The sequence below is a fragment of the Homo sapiens genome, chromosome 10, assembly GCF_000001405.40.
Source record: "Homo sapiens chromosome 10, GRCh38.p14 Primary Assembly".
NCBI classification, from domain to species: domain Eukaryota; kingdom Metazoa; phylum Chordata; class Mammalia; order Primates; family Hominidae; genus Homo; species Homo sapiens.
The window spans coordinates 51,679,459-51,699,955 of record NC_000010.11 but is presented as its reverse complement, the minus strand read 5'-3'; the positions used below and the strand labels follow the sequence as shown (position 1 = coordinate 51,699,955).

The window sequence follows — 20,497 nt, the reverse complement described above, 5'->3', positions numbered from 1 at the left end:
CGCCAGCGGAACGGAAGCAAAACCGCCTTTGACGTCAAGGGAAGAGTCCCCTCCCAGTTACTACGGTGAAGTCTATGCGGCCATCTTTACTGTGGTCATCTCGTACCAAGCGTGTCGTAGTGGGGCTGTTGGGGCCCCACAGAAAGTCAGCGGAACGTGAAATGGGAAAGGAATCATGCGACTCTGTAATAAGAAGCTGACAGAACCATGAAGGATCAGGGACTGAAAGCATTAGATAAGTTGTTAGTGGGATGCAGGTTCCACAGGCAAGCGGAACGATTCAAGCGAATTAGTAAAGTTTCTGCCCGGATCTTGAAAGCCGCTTCCGTTGCTCAGCGGAAGTGTCGGTCGCAAGAGGACAGACGCCTCGAAGAATCCGCTATCGGCTGTCTGCACAACCGGAATCATGTCGAGTTTGGCGGTGAGAGACCCGGCAATGGATCGATCACTGCGTTCCGTGTTCGTGGGGAACATTCCATATGAGGCAACTGAGGAGCAGTTAAAGGACATTTTCTCGGAGGTTGGTTCTGTTGTCAGTTTCCGGCTGGTATACGATAGAGAGACGGGAAAACCCAAGGGCTATGGCTTCTGCGAATACCAAGACCAGGAGACCGCGCTTAGTGCCATGCGGAACCTCAATGGGCGGGAGTTCAGTGGGAGAGCGCTTCGGGTGGACAATGCTGCCAGTGAAAAGAATAAGGAGGAGTTAAAGAGCCTTGGGCCTGCAGCGCCCATTATTGACTCACCCTATGGGGATCCCATCGATCCAGAAGATGCCCCTGAATCGATTACCAGAGCAGTAGCCAGTCTCCCCCCGGAGCAGATGTTTGAGCTGATGAAGCAGATGAAGCTCTGTGTCCAAAACAGCCACCAGGAAGCTCGAAACATGTTACTTCAAAATCCACAACTGGCTTATGCACTGTTGCAGGCACAAGTAGTGATGAGAATCATGGATCCAGAGATTGCTCTGAAAATTCTGCATCGGAAGATACATGTCACACCACTGATCCCAGGCAAATCTCAGTCTGTGTCTGTCTCTGGCCCTGGCCCTGGCCCTGGCCCTGGGCTCTGCCCAGGACCTAATGTTCTGCTGAACCAGCAGAATCCTCCAGCTCCTCAGCCTCAGCATTTGGCTAGAAGACCTGTGAAGGACATTCCTCCTCTGATGCAGACTCCTATCCAGGGTGGAATTCCAGCTCCAGGGCCAATACCAGCTGCAGTTCCCGGAGCTGGTCCTGGTTCCTTAACTCCTGGAGGAGCAATGCAGCCCCAACTTGGAATGCCAGGGGTTGGCCCAGTGCCTTTAGAGCGGGGACAAGTGCAGATGTCAGATCCTAGAGCTCCTATACCTCGCGGACCCGTGACTCCTGGTGGTCTGCCTCCTCGAGGACTGTTAGGAGATGCTCCAAATGACCCACGTGGAGGGACTTTGCTTTCAGTCACTGGAGAAGTGGAGCCCAGAGGTTATCTGGGTCCACCCCATCAGGGTCCCCCCATGCATCATGCCTCTGGTCATGACACTCGTGGCCCTTCCTCACATGAGATGAGGGGAGGGCCATTAGGAGATCCCAGACTGCTAATTGGAGAGCCCAGAGGCCCCATGATAGATCAAAGGGGTCTACCTATGGATGGTAGAGGTGGTAGAGATTCTCGAGCGATGGAGACTCGTGCCATGGAAACTGAGGTCTTAGAGACACGTGTAATGGAGAGGAGAGGAATGGAGACCTGTGCGATGGAAACCAGAGGGATGGAAGCAAGGGGCATGGATGCAAGAGGATTGGAGATGAGGGGCCCTGTCCCCAGTTCAAGAGGCCCTATGACTGGTGGAATTCAGGGTCCTGGTCCCATTAATATAGGGGCAGGTGGCCCTCCTCAGGGACCCAGACAGGTCCCAGGCATTTCAGGGGTGGGGAATCCTGGAGCTGGTATGCAGGGTACAGGCATACAAGGAACAGGCATGCAGGGAGCAGGCATACAAGGAGGAGGGATGCAGGGGGCAGGCATACAAGGAGTCAGTATACAAGGAGGAGGTATACAAGGAGGAGGTATACAGGGGGCAAGCAAGCAAGGTGGAAGCCAGCCTAGCAGTTTTAGTCCTGGGCAGAGCCAGGTCACTCCACAGGATCAGGAGAAGGCAGCTTTGATCATGCAGGTTCTTCAACTGACTGCAGATCAGATTGCCATGCTGCCCCCTGAGCAAAGGCAGAGTATCCTGATTTTAAAGGAACAAATCCAGAAATCCACTGGAGCGTCTTGAAAGGTTTTAGAAAATATTTGGCTGTAGTCTCAAATTTTATTCTGTAGCATGGAGAATGGGTGCAAAAAGCTGACTTCTGTATCCCCACACTTGGATTAGGGTTTCCCTCCTCCTAGAACCTAATCTTATTTTTTGTTCTTTTTCTTTCTTTCTGTTTTCCTTTTTTTTTTAATTGAGGGTGGGGGGAGGAGGGAGTGCGTCTGTTCACTTTAAGTTACTTTAAAATAACTCTGAACATGATTATATTATGCCAAATAAGATTACAAAGAATAAGCAGCAATATTGAAGCATCTACAGTATGTTAACTACATTTTTTAAATGTCGAGTAAAACTTCGTGAAAACTGCTCATAAAGACTAAAAGTTGACCTGTTAAAACGTTAATGTACTAAGATAGTTTTAAGATTTTTGGTTGTATAACAAAATAAAAGTTTACCCAAAAGTATAAGATACATTTTTTGGTAAACCATTTAAAATACAAAATCCTATTTTGGAGGCAATAGGATAAGCATTGTCTTAGTGTTTTAGAATTATTTTTGAAACAGAGTTAACAGGATAAGGTTACACTTGTATTAGAATTGTTTTTTTCTAAAGTTATGTTACCTGAAAAATCAAGGAGTGCACCTGATTTACTGTTGCTTCATTTATCCCATCCTTCAGAGACCAGCAAGGTTCTGCCAGGCCCCAAGCATCTGAGCATGATGATTTTGCTGTGACAATTCTAAGATCAACCAGGTTACTTAAGTCCGCTCTGATGAAACCCAGTCTCTCAATACCTTCCTATTTCTCAATAGTCTTTAAGCCCTAAATCTGAGTCAGTAATTCTCTAAAAATCCTTCCCAAAAATCAGTGTCTAGGGACTGGTTGATCTAGATGAGTTATAAATGGTATTTGACTTTTCATAAGTAGTGGAAGGTTTCACTAAGTAAAGATCTGAGTTTCTTGGTATCTGACGTTTGTATACAGATGGTGTCCATTTGCTCAACCAGACAGGAGTTAACTTGTATTAGAATTGTTTTTTCTAAAGTTATGTTACCTGAGAAATTAAGGACTGCACCTGGTTTAATGTTGCTTCACTTATCCCACCCTACAGAGACCAGCAAGGTTCTGCCAGGCCTCGAGCATCCAAGCATGATTTTGCTGTGACAAATCTAAAATCAACCAGGCTACTTAAGTCTGCTCTGATGAAACCCAATAATCTCTCAATACCTTCCTATTTCTCAATAGTCTTTAAACCCTAAATCTGAGTCAGTAATTCTCTTACATCCTTCCCAAAAATCAGTGTCTAGGGACTAGTTGATCTGGATGAGTTATACATGATATTTGACTTTTCATAAGTAGTGGAAGGTTTCACTAAGTAAAACTCTCAGTTTCTTGGTATCTGGCTTTCTTATACAGATGGTGTCCATTTGCTCCACCAGACAGGAGTTAAAAACCTTTAAAGAGCATTTAACATGCCTTTTAGTTTTCTTATTTCATAATCTACTTTTCTATCATTAATCATCTTACCAGGAATAATCAAGGCCCAGGTAGGTAGAAGTTTTTATATAGCCTGAATACTCACTTGACTTACTGCTCATTTTACTTTTTGCATGGAATACAGCCATTTAGTCCTAATATACATACCAATGAGACAATTAAAAATTGGTTGGAAGATGGAGCTTATCACATTGTGCTACTACGACTTTATTTTTTCTTGAAAATAAAGCCTTGAGGATGTGAACATAAATGTTGGTATCATAAAACAAGTAGTAATAAAAGCATAAATTATCAAATATCAGGTGATCTTACTATGGAGAAGAAAAACCAATATCTAGTTACAGATGAAAAAATGTTTAATACAAAGAGCTGAAAATGTAGAAATTGAGTTATCTTCCCTTTGCAAAATTTTTACACTTTAAATTAGTAATTCTTTGTTTGCAAGGTTTTCATCCCTATGCTGTTGTTTTCTACTACCTGTTTTACTCTTGTTCATACTGCTACTTTCCCATGTTTCCTATATGCCTCCCCTATATTGGAGAGGATAACTCGCGTTTACATATGTGATAGTTATGCTTAATACTAATTCACAGAGTTGGCTCGATCATTTTGAGATTCTAGTTGCTTTATCTCAAAGCTTTCACTGAAGGGCTGTAACTGAAAATTATTAAATGTTAGTCTTTAGTCAAATCTCTGCATTGTTTCATGCAGAAAATAAAGATACAATTAAGGCTGACATTAGTATCTGATATGTTTATTTTTAATGAATACATTATACAAAAGTCTTCCATTCTGGATATACATGGGGCCTGATTACCTTTTGTTTTTAATGAAAAAGGCAGAACTAATGAAATTGCAGGAATGGATGGAACTCACTTAGAGCCATTATCTATATAGTTTGACAGTTGAAATAACTATAAAGATGGGCCATTTTGTGGTTGGTATAAGCAACATCTTGGCGGTAGTCAGATATTAAGCTTATGTTCCCCAGAGAGAATTCCTCTGTATTTCAATAGCACCTCGTAGCTATCTTCATTACTGACAACATTAGTTATATTGCAGTGCACTTTTTACGTCCACTTCCACAAACTGAACACAGGGACAGCCTATCTCATTCCCATATTCACAGATGGGAACAGGACAAAATATTTTATTAGAGTTATTAGGGGGAAAAAATCCCATTAAGAGCACATATGCTGCCTTCATAAGGGTTTAGATGCAACACAGAACAAATGAGCTATAACAACTATTTCCATTTCAAAAAACAATTAGAAACAGGTTATTAAAAACAATCACCTCTACTCTGTGAAAGCTAAGGAAATAGATTCTCCTCACTTCTGAATCATTGAACATTCCAATATTGATGTAGAAAGCATAGAGCCTTATTTCATTTGATAGTAAAGAATAAAGCAAGCAATATTGCCACAATCAGAATCTTTTATGTGTTTTTCTACACAATCATCGTTTATAACCCCTCACATCCTGAATTTTCCCTAGGATGTGTAGACTAAAATAAAATCACCAATTCATTCATCATAATAGTTGAAGATGACAGGGTGAAACAGTGATTTGCTAATGCTTCTTTAAGGCTTATCCTCTTGGGCAGTACATGTTTTTTGGGATTATGAAATGATCAACTTTAATCAGTGCCTGCCCATTAGTCCTTGCCCTAATATTACTGATGATTAATACCAAAAATATGTTTTAATATCTGCTGACTTCCTAGGATTTGGGAGTATTTGATAAGATATAAGCCAATGTGAATCCCAGTCAAAAGTAGGCTTATCTAAGTAAGATTATGTTTGGCTTTTCAACTACACTTTTCAGAATTTTAATGGTAGAAAAACATTTAAGAAAGAAAACCGTTAACGTAATCACGGCTTGCAGAGCTTCTTGTTTTTCCATGCTGTGATGGGACATTAGCTAAGCACACAGAACATAATTTCCTATGGTGTGTCAGGCCTTTCTCTTAGGTCTGATGAGGTCTAAGGATAATTATGTGCAACAACCTACTGTGGCAGAGAAACTGAATTATCAGTTACATCTGAGAGTCTTCTCACAAAAGAATGTCAGTCTCTCACTGCTTTATATTAGCTAATCTCTAGACGGACTTTCCTGGTTGAAGCTTACTTTTTTCATCAGTCTCTTATCAAGAATGCTCTGGTTAAGAACTAATTCATATTACGGACATCATTAATATATTGTAAGTATCCATAAATATAAATTTTAATATTAAATGTTAATAGGGATATTACATGATATTGGCATACTATATAATGTGCTTATATATATTTATTTCAAATGTTAACTGAATCAGATCTTTAAATATTTTCGTTTGTTTTTATGCACCCTGAAACAAAAGTTTACTCCTTTGGTTGAAAATTCACCTTCACAAATATTCATATTACCAATTACCTTTCTCATAAAATATTAACTATCATGTTTGTTCTTGATATTATTCTACAACAATATATAACATGTCATTTGAGGGCATGAATTGTGTCAAAAGTGACACTTGGGAGTCGGGCATGGTGGCTTATACCTGTAATCCCAGCACTTTGGGAGGCTGAGGTGGGCAGATCACTTGAGGTCAGGAGTTTGAGACCAGCCTGGCCAATGTGGTGAAACCCCATCTCTACTAAAAATACAAAAATTAGCCAGGCATGTTGGCAGGCCCCAGTAATCCCAGCTACTTGGGAGTCTGAGGCACGAGAAGCACTTGAACCTGGGAGGTGGAGATTGAAGTGAGTCGAGATTGTGCCACTACACTCCAGCCTGGGCAACAGATGAGACTCTGTCTCAAAATAAAATGAATTTAAAAATAAGTGACACTTGGGGTAACATCATTAAAAATAACAAACCTGGTGCTTATTAAATACTATTAAAAAGCACCCAAATATTTACCAAATAACAGCTTTTTTTTTTTTTTTTTTTGAGGTGGTGTCTCACTTTGCTGCCCAGGCTGGAGTACAGTGGCACAATCTCAGCTCACTGCAACCTCTGCCTCCTGGGTTTAAGTGATTTCCCTGCCTCATCCTCTCAAGTAGCTGTGATTACAGGCGTGTGCTACCATACCTGGCTGATTTTTGTAGTTTTAGTAGAGACGGGGTTTCACCATGTTGGCCAGGCTGGTTTTGAACTCCTGACCTCAAATGATCCACCCGCCTTGGCCCTCCCAAAGTGCTGGGATTAGAGGTGTGAGCCACCACACCTGGCATTTAATAACAACCCTTTATAACCAAGAGTTGGTTTAGATTCCCAAACTAGGTAACTACCCTTTAATCATAGGGTTTTAAAAATAAAAAAATAAAAAGTACGTAGCTAATTACAAAAAATACACAACATTCTCAATCATAATTAATTTTATATGATTGAGTATGTATAATATCTGCAGACATTTGAAATGAATCTCATATGTATTACAAAGGTTGGTCATTTAAAAAAATATATCTGACGTGCAGATGCAGTGGCTCATGCCAGCAGTTTGGGAGGTTGAGGCAGAAGGATCACTTGAGTTCAGGACTTTAAGACCAGCCTGGGCAACACAGGGAGATCCTGTCTCTACAAAAAATGTAAAAATTAGCTGAGTATGGCGATGTACACATTCTTTAAGTGAATCCTACAGACTCACCTTAATAACATTTAAAATGAGTGCCAACATTGGAAAATGGTATAGTTGGGCGGGGCGTGGTGGCTCATGCCTGTAATCCCAGCACTTTGGGATGGAGAGGTGGGCAGATCACATGGTCAGGAGATTCAGACCATCCTGGCTAATGGTGAAAATCCGTCTCTACTAAAAATACAAAAAAATTAGCCAGGGGCGTGGTGGTGGGCACCTGTAGTCCCAGCTACTTGGGAGGCTGAGGCAGGAGAATGGCATGAACCCAGGAGGCGGAACTTGCAGTGAGCCGAGATCGCGCCACTGCACTCCAGCCTGGGTGACAGAGAAATGGTATAGTTGAATTCATAATGTGATTTTTTTTTTTTAAAAAGGCCAATATAGGGCTTGCTTGGTGCCTTAACATTTATTAAATCATACTCCATATCGGAAATATCACTCTTGTTCTCATGTTAATCAATATAGTGACATAAATCAGGACTAAAAACATTGCCAGACACAAACCTTGTATGGGAGAGTAAATACAACCATCAACTATTAATACAATATATTTCCTATCTTTGGCTAAGCCTATATCCAAAATGATTTCATCTTTTTATGCTTATCAATCATCAGAGGAAAAGATCCTCATCTATTTTAAGCATCAGAGAAATTACACTATTGAAACTTGTAGAATTATTGTCAATGTTATTCAAGTTTTGTTCCCTAAAAGTTTTAAATATCTTTGGACAAGAAACCTCAAATTGGTGATCTGTGGACCAATTGAGCCTACAGATATGTTTTATTTGACCAGTCAATTTTCTTGAAAATTTTGAACTTAAATGCCTGTAGAAGCAGCTTATATTCTCCAATTTGGCCACAAGCCTAACCTCCTCCTAGCCTTCGAGCTTACAACTCCTGCTTTTACTCAGTATAAAAACATAATTATTAGATTGGATCAATATTAGTGTCTAGTTTGACAAATGTAGCATAGAAAAACTTGCTCAAGGCCAGACAAGGTATCTCACGCCTGCAATCCCAGCTGTTTGGGAGCCCAAGGCTGGAGGATCGCTTGTGTCCAGGAGTTTGAGACCAGCCTGAGCAGCATGGTGAAACCCTGTCTCTATAAAGTATACAAAAATTAGTTCATTAGTTGGCCATGGTGGCATGGCTCTGTAGTCCCAGCTACTTAGGACGTTGAAGTGGGAGGATCACTTCAGCCCAGGAGGTGGAGGCTGCAGTGAGCCGGGATCTCGCCACTGCACTCCAGCCTGGGTGACAGAGCAAGACCTTATCTCAAAAAAAAAAAAAAAAAGATAAAAAGAAAAACCTGTTTAGCAACTGGTTCGGCACATGTATTTCTGCAAAATCAACCAGCAACAAAAGGAAAACCCAAAGCAAACAAAAACAAAAATCTTGATGCATTTTTTTTTTGTGGATTTTGATGAGCTATACTGAGCAAAGGAATGTCCTAGGAAACTAAGCCAATCAGTATATTTAGCCCACAAATGTTTGCATTTTCAATAAATATTAATCCAAAATAGCAATATCTTCTTTTTCAATGAAAACATATATTTATAAAATATGATATATATTATTCATATATGTAGATATTAAATGTTAACAGCTCTAGAATGAAGATATGGATAGTATACATAATGGAACGTAATTCTTTTTTTTTTTTTTTTTTTTTTTTTGAGACAGAGTCTCACTCTGTCGCCAGGCTGGGGGGTGTAGTGGTGCAATCTTGGCTCACTGCAACCTCTGCCTCCCGGGTTCAAGCGATTCTCCTGCCTCAGCCTCCTGAGTAGCTGGGAGTACAGGTGCTCGCCACCACACCCAGCTAATTTTTGTATTTTTAGTAGAGACGGGGTTTCACCATATTGGCCAGGATGGCCTCGATCTCTGGACCTCCTTATCCACCCTCCTCGGCCTCCCAAAGTGCTGGGATTACAGGTGTGAGCCACAGCGCCCGGCCCAAAATTCTTTAATTTCTTTATCTGTTATTGATGTACCTGCCAACCTCTGACTCTCTGATTCTCTACTATCTCACTTTGTTGCCTGGAATGAATATGAAGCAGCCTGTACCAATTTAGGAATCTACTTATGTAGATTATAGAAAATGACCCACTATATAAACTTTCATATAACAGGCACAGTAATTTAAACAAAACAAAACAAAAGCCCTTAACCAGATCATGTTATTTCCCTGTTAAAACCTCTCATGGCTTACATTGCTCTTAGAATAAAATTCAAAATCCTTATGTGTCCTATATAGCCCTGATATAGTTTGGATGTGTCCCCACCCAAATCTCATATTGAAATATAATCCCCGGTGTTGGAGGAGGGGCCTTGTGGGAGGTGATTGGATCATGAGGGTGGATTTCTCATGAATAGTTTATCACCATCCCCCATGGTACTGTCCTCTTATTAGTGAGTGAGTTCTCATGTAATCTGGTAATTTAAAAGTGTGCAGCACCTCCCCCTCTGCTCTCTTGCTCCTGCTCTGGTCCTGTGCCTGCTGCCCCTTTCCCTTTGTCATGATTCTAAGTTCCCTGAGGTCTCCCCAGAAGCCAAGTCAATGCCAGCATCATGCTTCCTGTACAGCCTGCAGAAACATGAGCCAATTAAACCTCTTTTCTTTATAAATTACCCCATCTCAGGTATTTCTTTATAGAAATGCAAGAATGAACTAATACAAGCCTTAAGTATACCAATGTCGCACACTACCGTTGGCCCCTTACTCACTTCTACAAATATTTTGGGCCTAGTTTTATTTAATTGAATTTGCCAGACTCATTTTCATCTCTGTACTTGGAGTTTCTCTTGCTCATCACCCACTCTTTCCCCAGGCCTTTGAATGGCTAGTTGATTCTCTTTACTCAGGTCTTGGCTTACATAGTATAGCACTTACTCAGAGGCCTTTTCCTGAACACCTGGGAAACCACAGACAAAGCAAACGTAAATTTAAATGGTCTCCCAATTCTCTCTCATAATCTTGTTGTCTTTCTTGTTTGTTTGTTAAGAGTAGTTATCTTACCTGAGCACCACTTACACATTGTATGGGATTAATCCATATTCTCCAACCCTTTGCAAAGCATAATGGTTCTTCTATGCACCCACCAAACTTGATGATTGTCATGAATGAGTTACTCTTCATTATGCCCATGTTATATTTATCATGTAAATCATGTTTGTTCCCAAACAAATCTATGCTGGTTTTATCTATTATTATAATATATGAATATGCATATAGGCACAAACATAGGTATAGATAATGTGTGTATGTATGAAATATGATTGTAAAAATAAAAAGTTATTTCTCTGAAAACTATCTTGAATGCTTTGAAATATAGATAGATAGATAGATAGATAGATAGATAGTAGATAGATTTATTATGTCAACTGTGTTTGATGGTGTATTAGTCTGTTTTCATGCTGCTGATAAATACATACCCCAGACTCAGAAACTTACAAAGGAAAGAGGTTTAATGGAGAACTCACAGTTCCACGTGGCTGAGGAAGCCTCACAAGCATGGCGGAATGCAAGGAGGAGCAAGTCATGTCTTATATGGATGGCAGTAGGCAGAGAGAGCTTGTGCAGGGATACCACTGTTTTAAAGCCATCAGATCTCATGAAACCCACTCACTATCATGAAAACAGCATGGGAAAGACCACCCCCATGATTCAGTCATCTCCCACCAGGTACCTCCCACAACACATGGGAATTATGGGAGCTACAAGATGAGATTTGAGTGGGGACACAGAGCCAAACCATATCAGATGGTAAACCAGTTTATACCAATTGTACTATTTTTTGTTTTATATAGATTGATTGACTGATATTAGCATGAGTGTGAAAAAGTTATTTCTGTGAAAACTATGTTGACTGTTTCTACAAGATTTTATAAAAGGAGCTAAAAATACAACATTGTTAAATACTGTGGGGGCAAGGTAATTTTTTAAAATACTTTAAAAATCTTTAAAATCTAGAATTTACCCTGATACTTTGTAAGCATCCAAATCCTTGTTTCACTAAAAAAAAAAAAAAAAAAAAGGATTGTTACTGGCAATTTTAGACAAAGCAGGTCAATGCTTTAATTTCCTCACAGAAATTTTTCAGGCAGAGGAAGAAAAATCCTTGAGGAAATGTTATCTGAGGTTTGGTGCTGCCATAGTTGTCTCCCTTTAACCTCCACGGGATTACGCAGGAGAGACACCAGCCTGCCACCATTCCAGTCCTCCTCCTTCCCCTTCCTTGTGATGTTATATACTGAGGAGAACAGAATATACCCTAATCTCTTGCTAATTAAAGTGTGCTCCTTAGACCAGCAGCACCAGCATCACCTGGGAGCCTGTTAGAAATGCAGAATCTAGGTGCCCACCCAGACCTGCTGAATCAAAGCCTGCATATTAATAAGATCCCCAAGGATCCACATGCAAATAAATGTTTGAAAAGCACTGCTTTAATCCTACAAGAAAGTGAAAACAATGACAACAACAAATAAAAGCACCATAAAATTAATATTATGACAAATAGAAGGGATTTTTAATTTACCTACATGGCTTCCCTTCCACTAGCAGAGAAAATCAAGAATTGGCAAAAATCCTTACCCAATCTGAGGAAAATAGGAGATAGCCCATGTATTAGATGCCACATTGGACAAGCAAGCAGACAAACAAAAATCTTGTTCCTTCACAGATAATTGAGTGAACATTGGATCTACTGGGAAACCTAAGACAGCATAATTGAAATTATTGTTGTTTGGGGAAGACACCTGAATGTATTTTGTCCATATGTGTAACCCTTTTTTCCTTAGATATGGAGAAGAAGTTGTATTGAATTGGTAGAAACATTTATATTTATTATATATGATCACCAGAAACATGGCACACCAAAAATTGTTTCAGCCAAGCTGTGACTCTCTGGAATGAATGCCACCACCATTCGTCAAAAAATTATCTCATAAAACCTAAATTGTTCTCTAATCCCACAAATCTCATTATTTTTCTGGTAGGATATACTATCCAGATAGGAATGCTAACATCTGGGTACTCCATTTTCTTTTGTAAATGTCTTTCCCTATAACCCAGAAATATTGCCTAACATCACACAGAGCTTATCTAGACTAGAAACAAGATTTCTAGAAGAAATTTTGAAGCTGTCAAATCAGCATGCTTATGATTCAGTGTGAATAAACCCTCAACAGAATTCTGCTGCTAACAATTTTTCAAACCTCATCTAAGTATTCTAAAGTGTCAAAAAGAAAGGACCAGTATAACAAGAATAGTTCAAAGGATCAGCCCAGTGTTTGTTCTGTTACTTCATTTTCAGTAAATGTATTGGAAATGGTAGCAAAACTCTATACTGCAATTTGTGCTTTTAACCTTGTCTTTGAACCTAATCATAATTAAGAGTACAAATTAACCAAATCAACATTTGTAAATTAAGCAAATTAACTTTTTTTTTCTTGAAAGTTTTCATTGGCCTTAAATGAGTGAACTCAAAACATTTCTAGCAAACAACAATTTAAATTCAAATCAAGGCCTTTCAAGTGGTGACATCAAACCATCAAGAGGCTGTAAAGATGGCTGGGTGTAATATATGCCTGTAATCCCAGCACTTGGGAGGCTGAGGTGGGCAAATTACTTGGGATCAGGAGTTTGAGACCTGCCTGGCCAATATGGTGAAACCCCATCTCTACTAAAAATACAAAAAATTAGCCGGGCCTGATGGCGGGCACCTGTAATCACAGCTACTTGGGAGGCTGAGGCAGGAGAATACCTTGAACCAGGGAGACAGAGGTTGCAGTGAGCCAAGATTGCACCACTGCACTCTAGCCTTCCTCTAAAAAGAAAAAACAAACAAACAAACAAACAAAAAAGGTTGTAAAGAAAAATTGGGAACTTAAGAATCTTCCCTTTTCACATGTGTTCAGACTACTTGCATTCCAGTCCTAATTGGGGCTTTGTTTGCCTATGGGGGAAACAAATGTGCTTAACTAGAATGTTTTGTGAATTGGAAGGAAGATGGCTTATAGGATCTTTGATTGGTGGGGATTTCATTGTCATCATTTTCAGATAAACATGTTTTTAGAAACTTTTCCCCTAGTTAGTGCCTGTACTGACACAAGCAAGCTAGTTGAGCTTTGGCCAGTGATAACCTTGGTTTAAAATGGCCAAAGCTCCATTATCCTATGCAATCTAACACAGGAACAGAAAACCATATCCTGCATGTTCTCACTTATAAGGGGGAGCCGAACGAGAACACATGCATACTAAGAGAGGAACAACAGGCACTGGGGCCTACTTGATGGGGGTGAAGAGGGAGAGGATCAGAAAAAAATGCCTTTTGGGTACTATGCTTATTACCTGGGTGATAAAATTAATTGTACACCAAAGCCCCGCGACACGCAGTTTACCTGTATAACAAACCTACACATGGACCCCTGAACCTAAAAGTTAAAGAATAAAGTAAAATAAAATGGCCCAAAACTACTCGTCCTGAGGAATTCAAGCTGGATTATTCCGGGTAGAGGAAAAAAGAGGCTTATCTGCATCTCTTGCCCATTCTTTCATTTACCCAGGATTACATAGAAGGAAGGGGATTGATGGGCTGGTCAGTGACTCAGCCCATGCCAGCCAAGCAGGATTGTGAAACTGATCTCCTTTCAGGGCCAGCACTGTGGCAAAGGCTCACAAATGACCAGGGCTGAAGAGTGGTCTCTTCAAAGAAGAGAGGAGGCAGGAAAGAATGAGGGAGGAATAGTTACTTTTTTTGTTTTGTTGTTGTTTTGTTTTCCCCACAAAACCACAGACTTACTCCACATATATGATCATGGCTGGTCACCCCAAGCAGGAGGAGCTGTCTCCAGTTCATTTCCAGCTGTTCAGAAAGTCTTCTGTGTCTTCCCCACCACATTATGGAAGCTTTTTTGTCTAGTCTTTTATTTTAATAAAAAATGAAATATAACATATTGATATAGACATGAAATATAATTATTTAAAATGTTTTTTAATTCCAATAGGCATTTTAATTTACACAGTGAGCAAATACTTTGAGTTGATGGAAAGAGACTATAATAGTGCAATTTCAGACATCAGCCACAAGATTAGGGGGAGTGGAGTTATTTATTTTTGAGGGAGGGAGTTAGTAGCAAGGCTCTTGCAAGTGTTCCAGAACCAACACATGCCACTTATGAGTTCTATGTCCTCTTTTGGAAGGTTGGGTCATAAATAACATACAAACAGCATGTATTGAGAACCTACGAAATGCCAGGCATTTGACACGCAGCATCTTTAACTTCACTAAAATTGGAGGAAGTTGACTAATTTGCCCTAAGTCACAACAGCTCATAAGAGGTGGAAGCACCATTGAATCCAAGTTTGTCTGACTTCCAAGCCCTTACTGTCCCCATTATATCATTCAGTTTTATGAAAGAGACAAGTAATAAGGTCGAACAGTATCCACACTGAGGGCTGAATGTGGAGAAATATTAGGCATCATTTTCACTAAGTGATGAAGGTCATTACAGGTCTAGAACATGTGATTTTTGGGCAACAGTGAAAAATTTATGAAATCAATCTTTTGCCCTTATGTTTTTTCTTGTTGTTTTTTCTCCCAAGAACCAAGTACTAGACTTGGGTTTTAGGATTATAGAGGCAATGAAAACCAAAACTTAGAATGAAGACATACTTATATGGAATAACAATAATTTATAAGAAATCCATAAAACTAAATATATATTTTTTAATCGAGACAAGATCTCTCTCTGTCACCCAGGCTGGAATGCAATGGCGTGATCTTGGCTCACTGCATCCTAAGCCTCCCAGGCTCAAGCGATCCTCCCACCTCAGTCTCTTGAGTAGCTGGGGCCACAGGCATGCACCACCATGCCCAGCTAAGTTTTTGTATTTTTGGTGGAGACAGGGTTTTGCCATGACCTGGGTGGTCTCGAACTCCTTAGCTCAAACTATCTGTTGCCCCGGCCTCCCAAAGTGCTGGGATTACAGGACTGAGCCACTGCGCCTGGCCAAATTTTATATATATATATAAAGTAATTCTAGTCAATATCTAATTTAAACAATCCTGTGACCTATTTTTCCCATGGTGTCTTTTTTTAACATTTTTATCAACATATAAATTACACACCATAAGATCCACCTATTTAAAGCATCCAATGTAATGGTTGTTACGATAGTCATAGAGTTGTGCAGCCACCACCACACCTACATTTAGAACATATTCATCACCCCAGAAAGAAACACTGGATCCACTTCCTACTCTTTTACTCTCAGCCTTAGGCAACCACTGTTCTACTTTTCCTCACTATAGATATTCTGGATATTTCCTAAAAAGTGAATCATACAACGTATGGTCTTCAGCTTCTTTTACTTAACATAATTTTTAAAAAAAATTTATCCATGTTGTAGCATTATTGTCAATTAGTATTCTTTTGTATGAATATACCACATTTTATTTATTCATTCACCAGTTGATGGATATTTGTGTTGTTTTCATTCAGGCTATTATGAATAGTGCCGGTGTGAACATTTGTGTGCACATATGTTTTCATTTCTCTTGGGTATATACCTAGGAGTAGAATTGCTACATCATATAGGAACTTTATGTTAACTTCAGAGGAACCATTAGACTGTTTTCCAAAACGACCAAACTATTTTACATTCCCCCGAAAAACAAATGAGGGTTCCAGTTTCTCTACATCCTCTTGTAACTGCAATAGACCAATCTGATTCTGTTTTTTTGTAACAAAGTTGTGAGTTTTTCAGTTGCCATGGACTCCCAGGTTGAGCATGCCCAGATGAAGCAAGTGTGCAACCACAGGCTGGAGGGTGGTGGGGGGAACCTAAGTTTTCAGACTGAGGGTTGGGGACTGAATTAAGAAGTGAACACTGCATGGCAGGGTCCAGGTTCCAATCAGATCAAGCCGTGGCACCACCCTATGATGGTAGGATCCAGTCAGATCATGCCCTCAACATCAGCTCATTGCAAGATCCAATCAGATCACATCTCATTACCCTATGCTTATAAAACCCTACCCAAACCCCAGGGCAGGAAGACAGATTTGAGGGCTTCCTTCTATCTCCCTGCCAGTGGATTTGCAATAAAGCTTTTCTTTTCTCAAAAGCCAGCACTATGACCTCTATGTGCATTGGGCAATGAGCCCATTGATTGCTTAGTAACACTGTCATCACTTGTTTTTTTATTTTTAATTATAGCTATTCAGATATGAAGCTGTATCTCATTGTGGTGTTTTGTTTTGTTTTGTTTTGTTTTGTTTTGAGACAGAGCCTCACTCCCTTGCAGAGGCTGGAGTAGTGGCACAATCTTGGCTCACTGCAACCTCCGCCTTGGCCTCCCAAAGTGCTGGGATTAGCACGAGCCACCGTGCCTGGCCTCATTGTGGTTTTGATGTGCATTTTCTTGATGGCTAACTATTTTCAGCATTTTCATGTGCTTACTGGCTATTTGTTTAGCTTATGCAGAGAAATGTCTGTTCCCTGTGATCTATTTACTATAAATAAAATAACATGTTTCATGATTTCACCATTTCTCTGGTAAGTAAATGGATAATCAGATAACAGTGTCCCTAAAATATGAAAGGAATTATTTATTTTATGACTTAATAACTGGACAGAAATTGGAGGAGTCAAGTTGCAGAGGTAGAAGAGAGAGTTTTCAATGATATTCTTTAACCCTTTTGGAACAGGTAGGTAATCATTTTCATGGTTTACAGCTCTGAAGACATTGGTTGAATCTGAAGGGAATTGAGAGTGCTTTTCCAAAGATGGCACTGTTATAGTAAAGAGCTCAATCTCTGCCTGTGTTCAAATTCTGGCTCTAGCACATACTAACCATGTGACTCATTTCTACACCTCACTTTCAAATCTGTACACTGGACAAACTACCTCCAAGGGTAGTTAGGAGGACTGTTTGATAAAGCACTTGTACCATGCTTACATATAATAAGTTCTTGATATGTGATATGTGCCAGTTATTATTATTCCTTAAAAAACAACCAACCAACCAAACAAACAAAAAAACCCATGGGCATGGAAACTCTAGGAGCCACATGAAACATGAGCTAGCACTGGTTGCTTCTCCAGGCATTGAGAAAGAGAGGGTTAGAAGATGGAGGAAACGAGATCAGCTATGAGGACTTCTACTTCAGAAGAGGAAAGAGACACTCCAAGGAAGATTTGTTACCAGAGAAGGAGGCATTTTAAATTAGAGAGGTCTGGGCTGTGTTTTGGAGCCGACTGTAAGATCTGGGCAGAGGAAGAAAAATGCCACTTTTTTCCTGTACCACTTTCCTCGTATTTCTTTATTTAGCAAAGCTATATTTTGTACGAGAAGAAATCTAATACAAAGTTGACAATGGTGAAGGCAATCTTATGTGGAAAAACCCTCTAACAGCTGACTCTGTTTGACCCAAGAAGTTTCAAGCTCCTGAAATCCTGTTTTAGAAAAACCAATAGAAATGGTATCAGGATTTTATCTGGTTTGAGCTTTTATGGCTTGTATATTTCTATTTCCTATAGATTTATCCAGTACAATAGAGGACAGATTATCCAAAAAATGTGCTTTCTTTATCTAAGACAAACTTTAATAACCCAATAGAAAAGTTTGAGGAACTATTTGCACTATTTGTTAAAATGTTATATATATAGCGCACATATATCTTCAATGTTTGTTTTATGAATGAAGTGAAAGGACTTTTGAAAGCTCTTTCTTCCTGGTTTCAAAGGTGGTACACAACATGTTATAATATCAATTAAACATTTCAGAATAAATGCATCAAAATGTTATGATTTAATTAATCCTCATCTACTATCTTTGTGTTTTACCTATAAATAGTATTTCTGAGCCTTACTTAAAGAAAATAGTCCTACAAAATTATATGTATTAAAAAAAGATTTTATGAAAAACTACCAGCTCAAGTGAAGTGTATTAAAATGACATAAATCCTATAATTATGCATATTTTACCATTACTTGGGAACTACCACATTCTGAGTTACATCAAAATCCAATGTTAGAGATATAAGAGAGAAATCTGAGGGGTTTTTTTAAGGAGCATCTAATGAGTATATTCTTTAACATTCACTTGGTTAATTTAGCAAATACTTTTTGGGTTCTATAAGTAGATTTATGTAGAAATAGTCATGTTTTGAATAATATTTACTTCTGACTACTGTATTTCTCCTCAAATTTTTACTTCTGAAAAATAGAAGCAAAGAGGGTAAATTTCCAGTTTGTGAACCTGCCACTACATCATTGATTTAAATTTAATATTCTATATAAAATTTAATATTCTGTATTTGTGTTTCTGGTTTGGCAGCCACTATCTACATAAAGCTATTGAGAACTTAGCCTGTCACTAATGAAATTGAATAGATACATTTTAAAATTTACTCAAATTTAATTAATTCATTGCAACAGCTCCCAGATTGACTAGCACAGATAAAAAGGACACAAGTTATCTTATGACTAGATAACATTTTGGGTAATGGTTCAAAACCATAAATGGATCAACTAACTAATGTCATCACTGATTTGTAGCATTAATATTATTAAAACAGGTAGTCAACTGGTAGTACGTGTGTACTTGTATAAATGAATGCACCTCGTTTTTAATAGATCCTTACATAATAAGAAGTGCTCAGAAAACAAGAAATAAAAGCACAACTAGCTCATTTTACTCATCTTTCTTTTAGCCAACATTTGTCTAATGCCACCATGTTACAAGCAATGAGGATTCAGCAAAACCAGAACGGATCCTGCTCCCACTGATTTTTGTATTTATTCAATATCTACTTTGTCCCAGTTCCTCTGAGCATATGCTTTGTTCTGAAGAAGGCTAGACCGTCTAGAAAGACTTAGTCCCCAAATTAAAGGAAAGTACAGAGTACTGTAGCACCATAGTACTATAGGAACACAATTAAAGAGAATCTGAATTCATAAGTCATCATGGAAGTTTTCTTGAAACAGAACCGAGTTTTGAAAATTGAGAGTAGTTAGTGAGAGCTAGACAGAGGACTTGTATGAGACAAGATGTTGGAATAAACTAGCATGCTGCTATTGTTATCAGAAGGCAGGCCTTGAGTGTGAATTGTCCAGATCCTTGGGGTTTTGAAAAAATAATTGGACAAAATGCACAAAGTAACAGAGGAATGAAACCCAGGAACAAAGAAGCGAAAGCAAGGATTTATTAAAGCAAGAAAGCACCCCACAGGGCGGGAGTGGGCCCGAGCAAGGGGCTCAAGGGCCTCCTTTACAAAGATTTTGGGGTTTAAGTATTCTTTTTTTTTTTTATTATACTTTAAGTTTTAGGGTACATGTGCACATTGTGCAGGTTAGTTACATATGTATACATTAAGTATTCTTTTGAGGTTCTTATCAGCTACCTTTTATCCGGATGAAGGATTTGGCTCGTGGCTAATTAAAGGCTGAGGTGAATTGGCCTGCGGCTAACCCAATACTAGAGCAGATTGACACCATATGCAGATGAAGTGGTGGCCCGTGTGTGGCCTGTGGCCACTCCAAGGCACTTTCCTTTTCCATCTGAGATGTGGTGGAAGGGGGAGGTTGTAGGTAGAGTAGCCTTTGATCCTTTGTTTCTTGGGTGTGGGGAGGTGGGGTTTTTCATTTTGGTTTAGCTTTAGGAAGTTCCCGTTAATTGGCCTTAAGTTATATCACACTCTGGGGACTGTGGTGGGGTCGGGGGAGGGGGGAGGGATAGCATTGGGAGATATACCTAATGCTAGATGACACGTTAGTGGGTGCAGCGCATCAGCATGGCACATGAATACATATGTAACTAACCTGCACAATGTGCACATGTACCCTAAAACTTAGAGTATAATAAAAAAAAAAACATTAAAAAAAAAAAAAAAAGTTCCCTGCCCCCAGACCCTATTCTCCTGCCTCACTATCACAGAACTATGTAAATGGTTTGGTGATGTGGGGAATATAAAGGAGTACTAGGAGATAAGGCAAGACCTAGTTCCCCAGTGTCTCCAGAGATAAGCTAAGGAGTTTGATCTTTATGCTGAAAGTTATAGGAAGTAACTTAAGAGTTTTAGAAAGCGAAATGAAAAGTTCAGATTTCTCCAAAGGAGAGCAATTATTAAGAAAAATCAC

The 20,497-nt window shown here is 39.3% G+C and overlaps 2 protein-coding genes across 6 annotated transcripts in view, besides 1 other annotated feature; one reads left to right on the top strand and one right to left on the bottom strand.

The window, feature by feature from the left end:
* PRKG1 (protein kinase cGMP-dependent 1) overlaps nt 1–20,497 on the bottom strand; it is a 1,307,463-nt gene that overhangs the window by 598,395 nt on the left and 688,571 nt on the right. The window lies entirely within an intron of this gene.
* Nucleotides 94–673: an enhancer, noted in NCBI's record as "active region_3374". NCBI's record gives its function as "activates an Ori minimal core promoter by ATAC-STARR-seq in GM12878 lymphoblastoid cells {active_cell/tissue: GM12878}" and the evidence as "EXISTENCE:reporter gene assay evidence [ECO:0000049][PMID:35858748]".
* On the top strand, nt 361–4,470 carry CSTF2T (cleavage stimulation factor subunit 2 tau variant). The gene has a single exon (NM_015235.3). It carries the CDS (start codon nt 407–409, stop codon nt 2,255–2,257), a length of 1,851 nt encoding a protein of 616 aa, NP_056050.1. The 5' UTR covers nt 361–406; the 3' UTR covers nt 2,258–4,470.

Excerpts from the sequence above, each read along its gene's own strand:
- CSTF2T (NM_015235.3), top strand. The coding sequence starts at position 407 with ATGTCGAGTTTGGCGGTGAGAGACCCGGCAATGGATCGATCACTGCGT.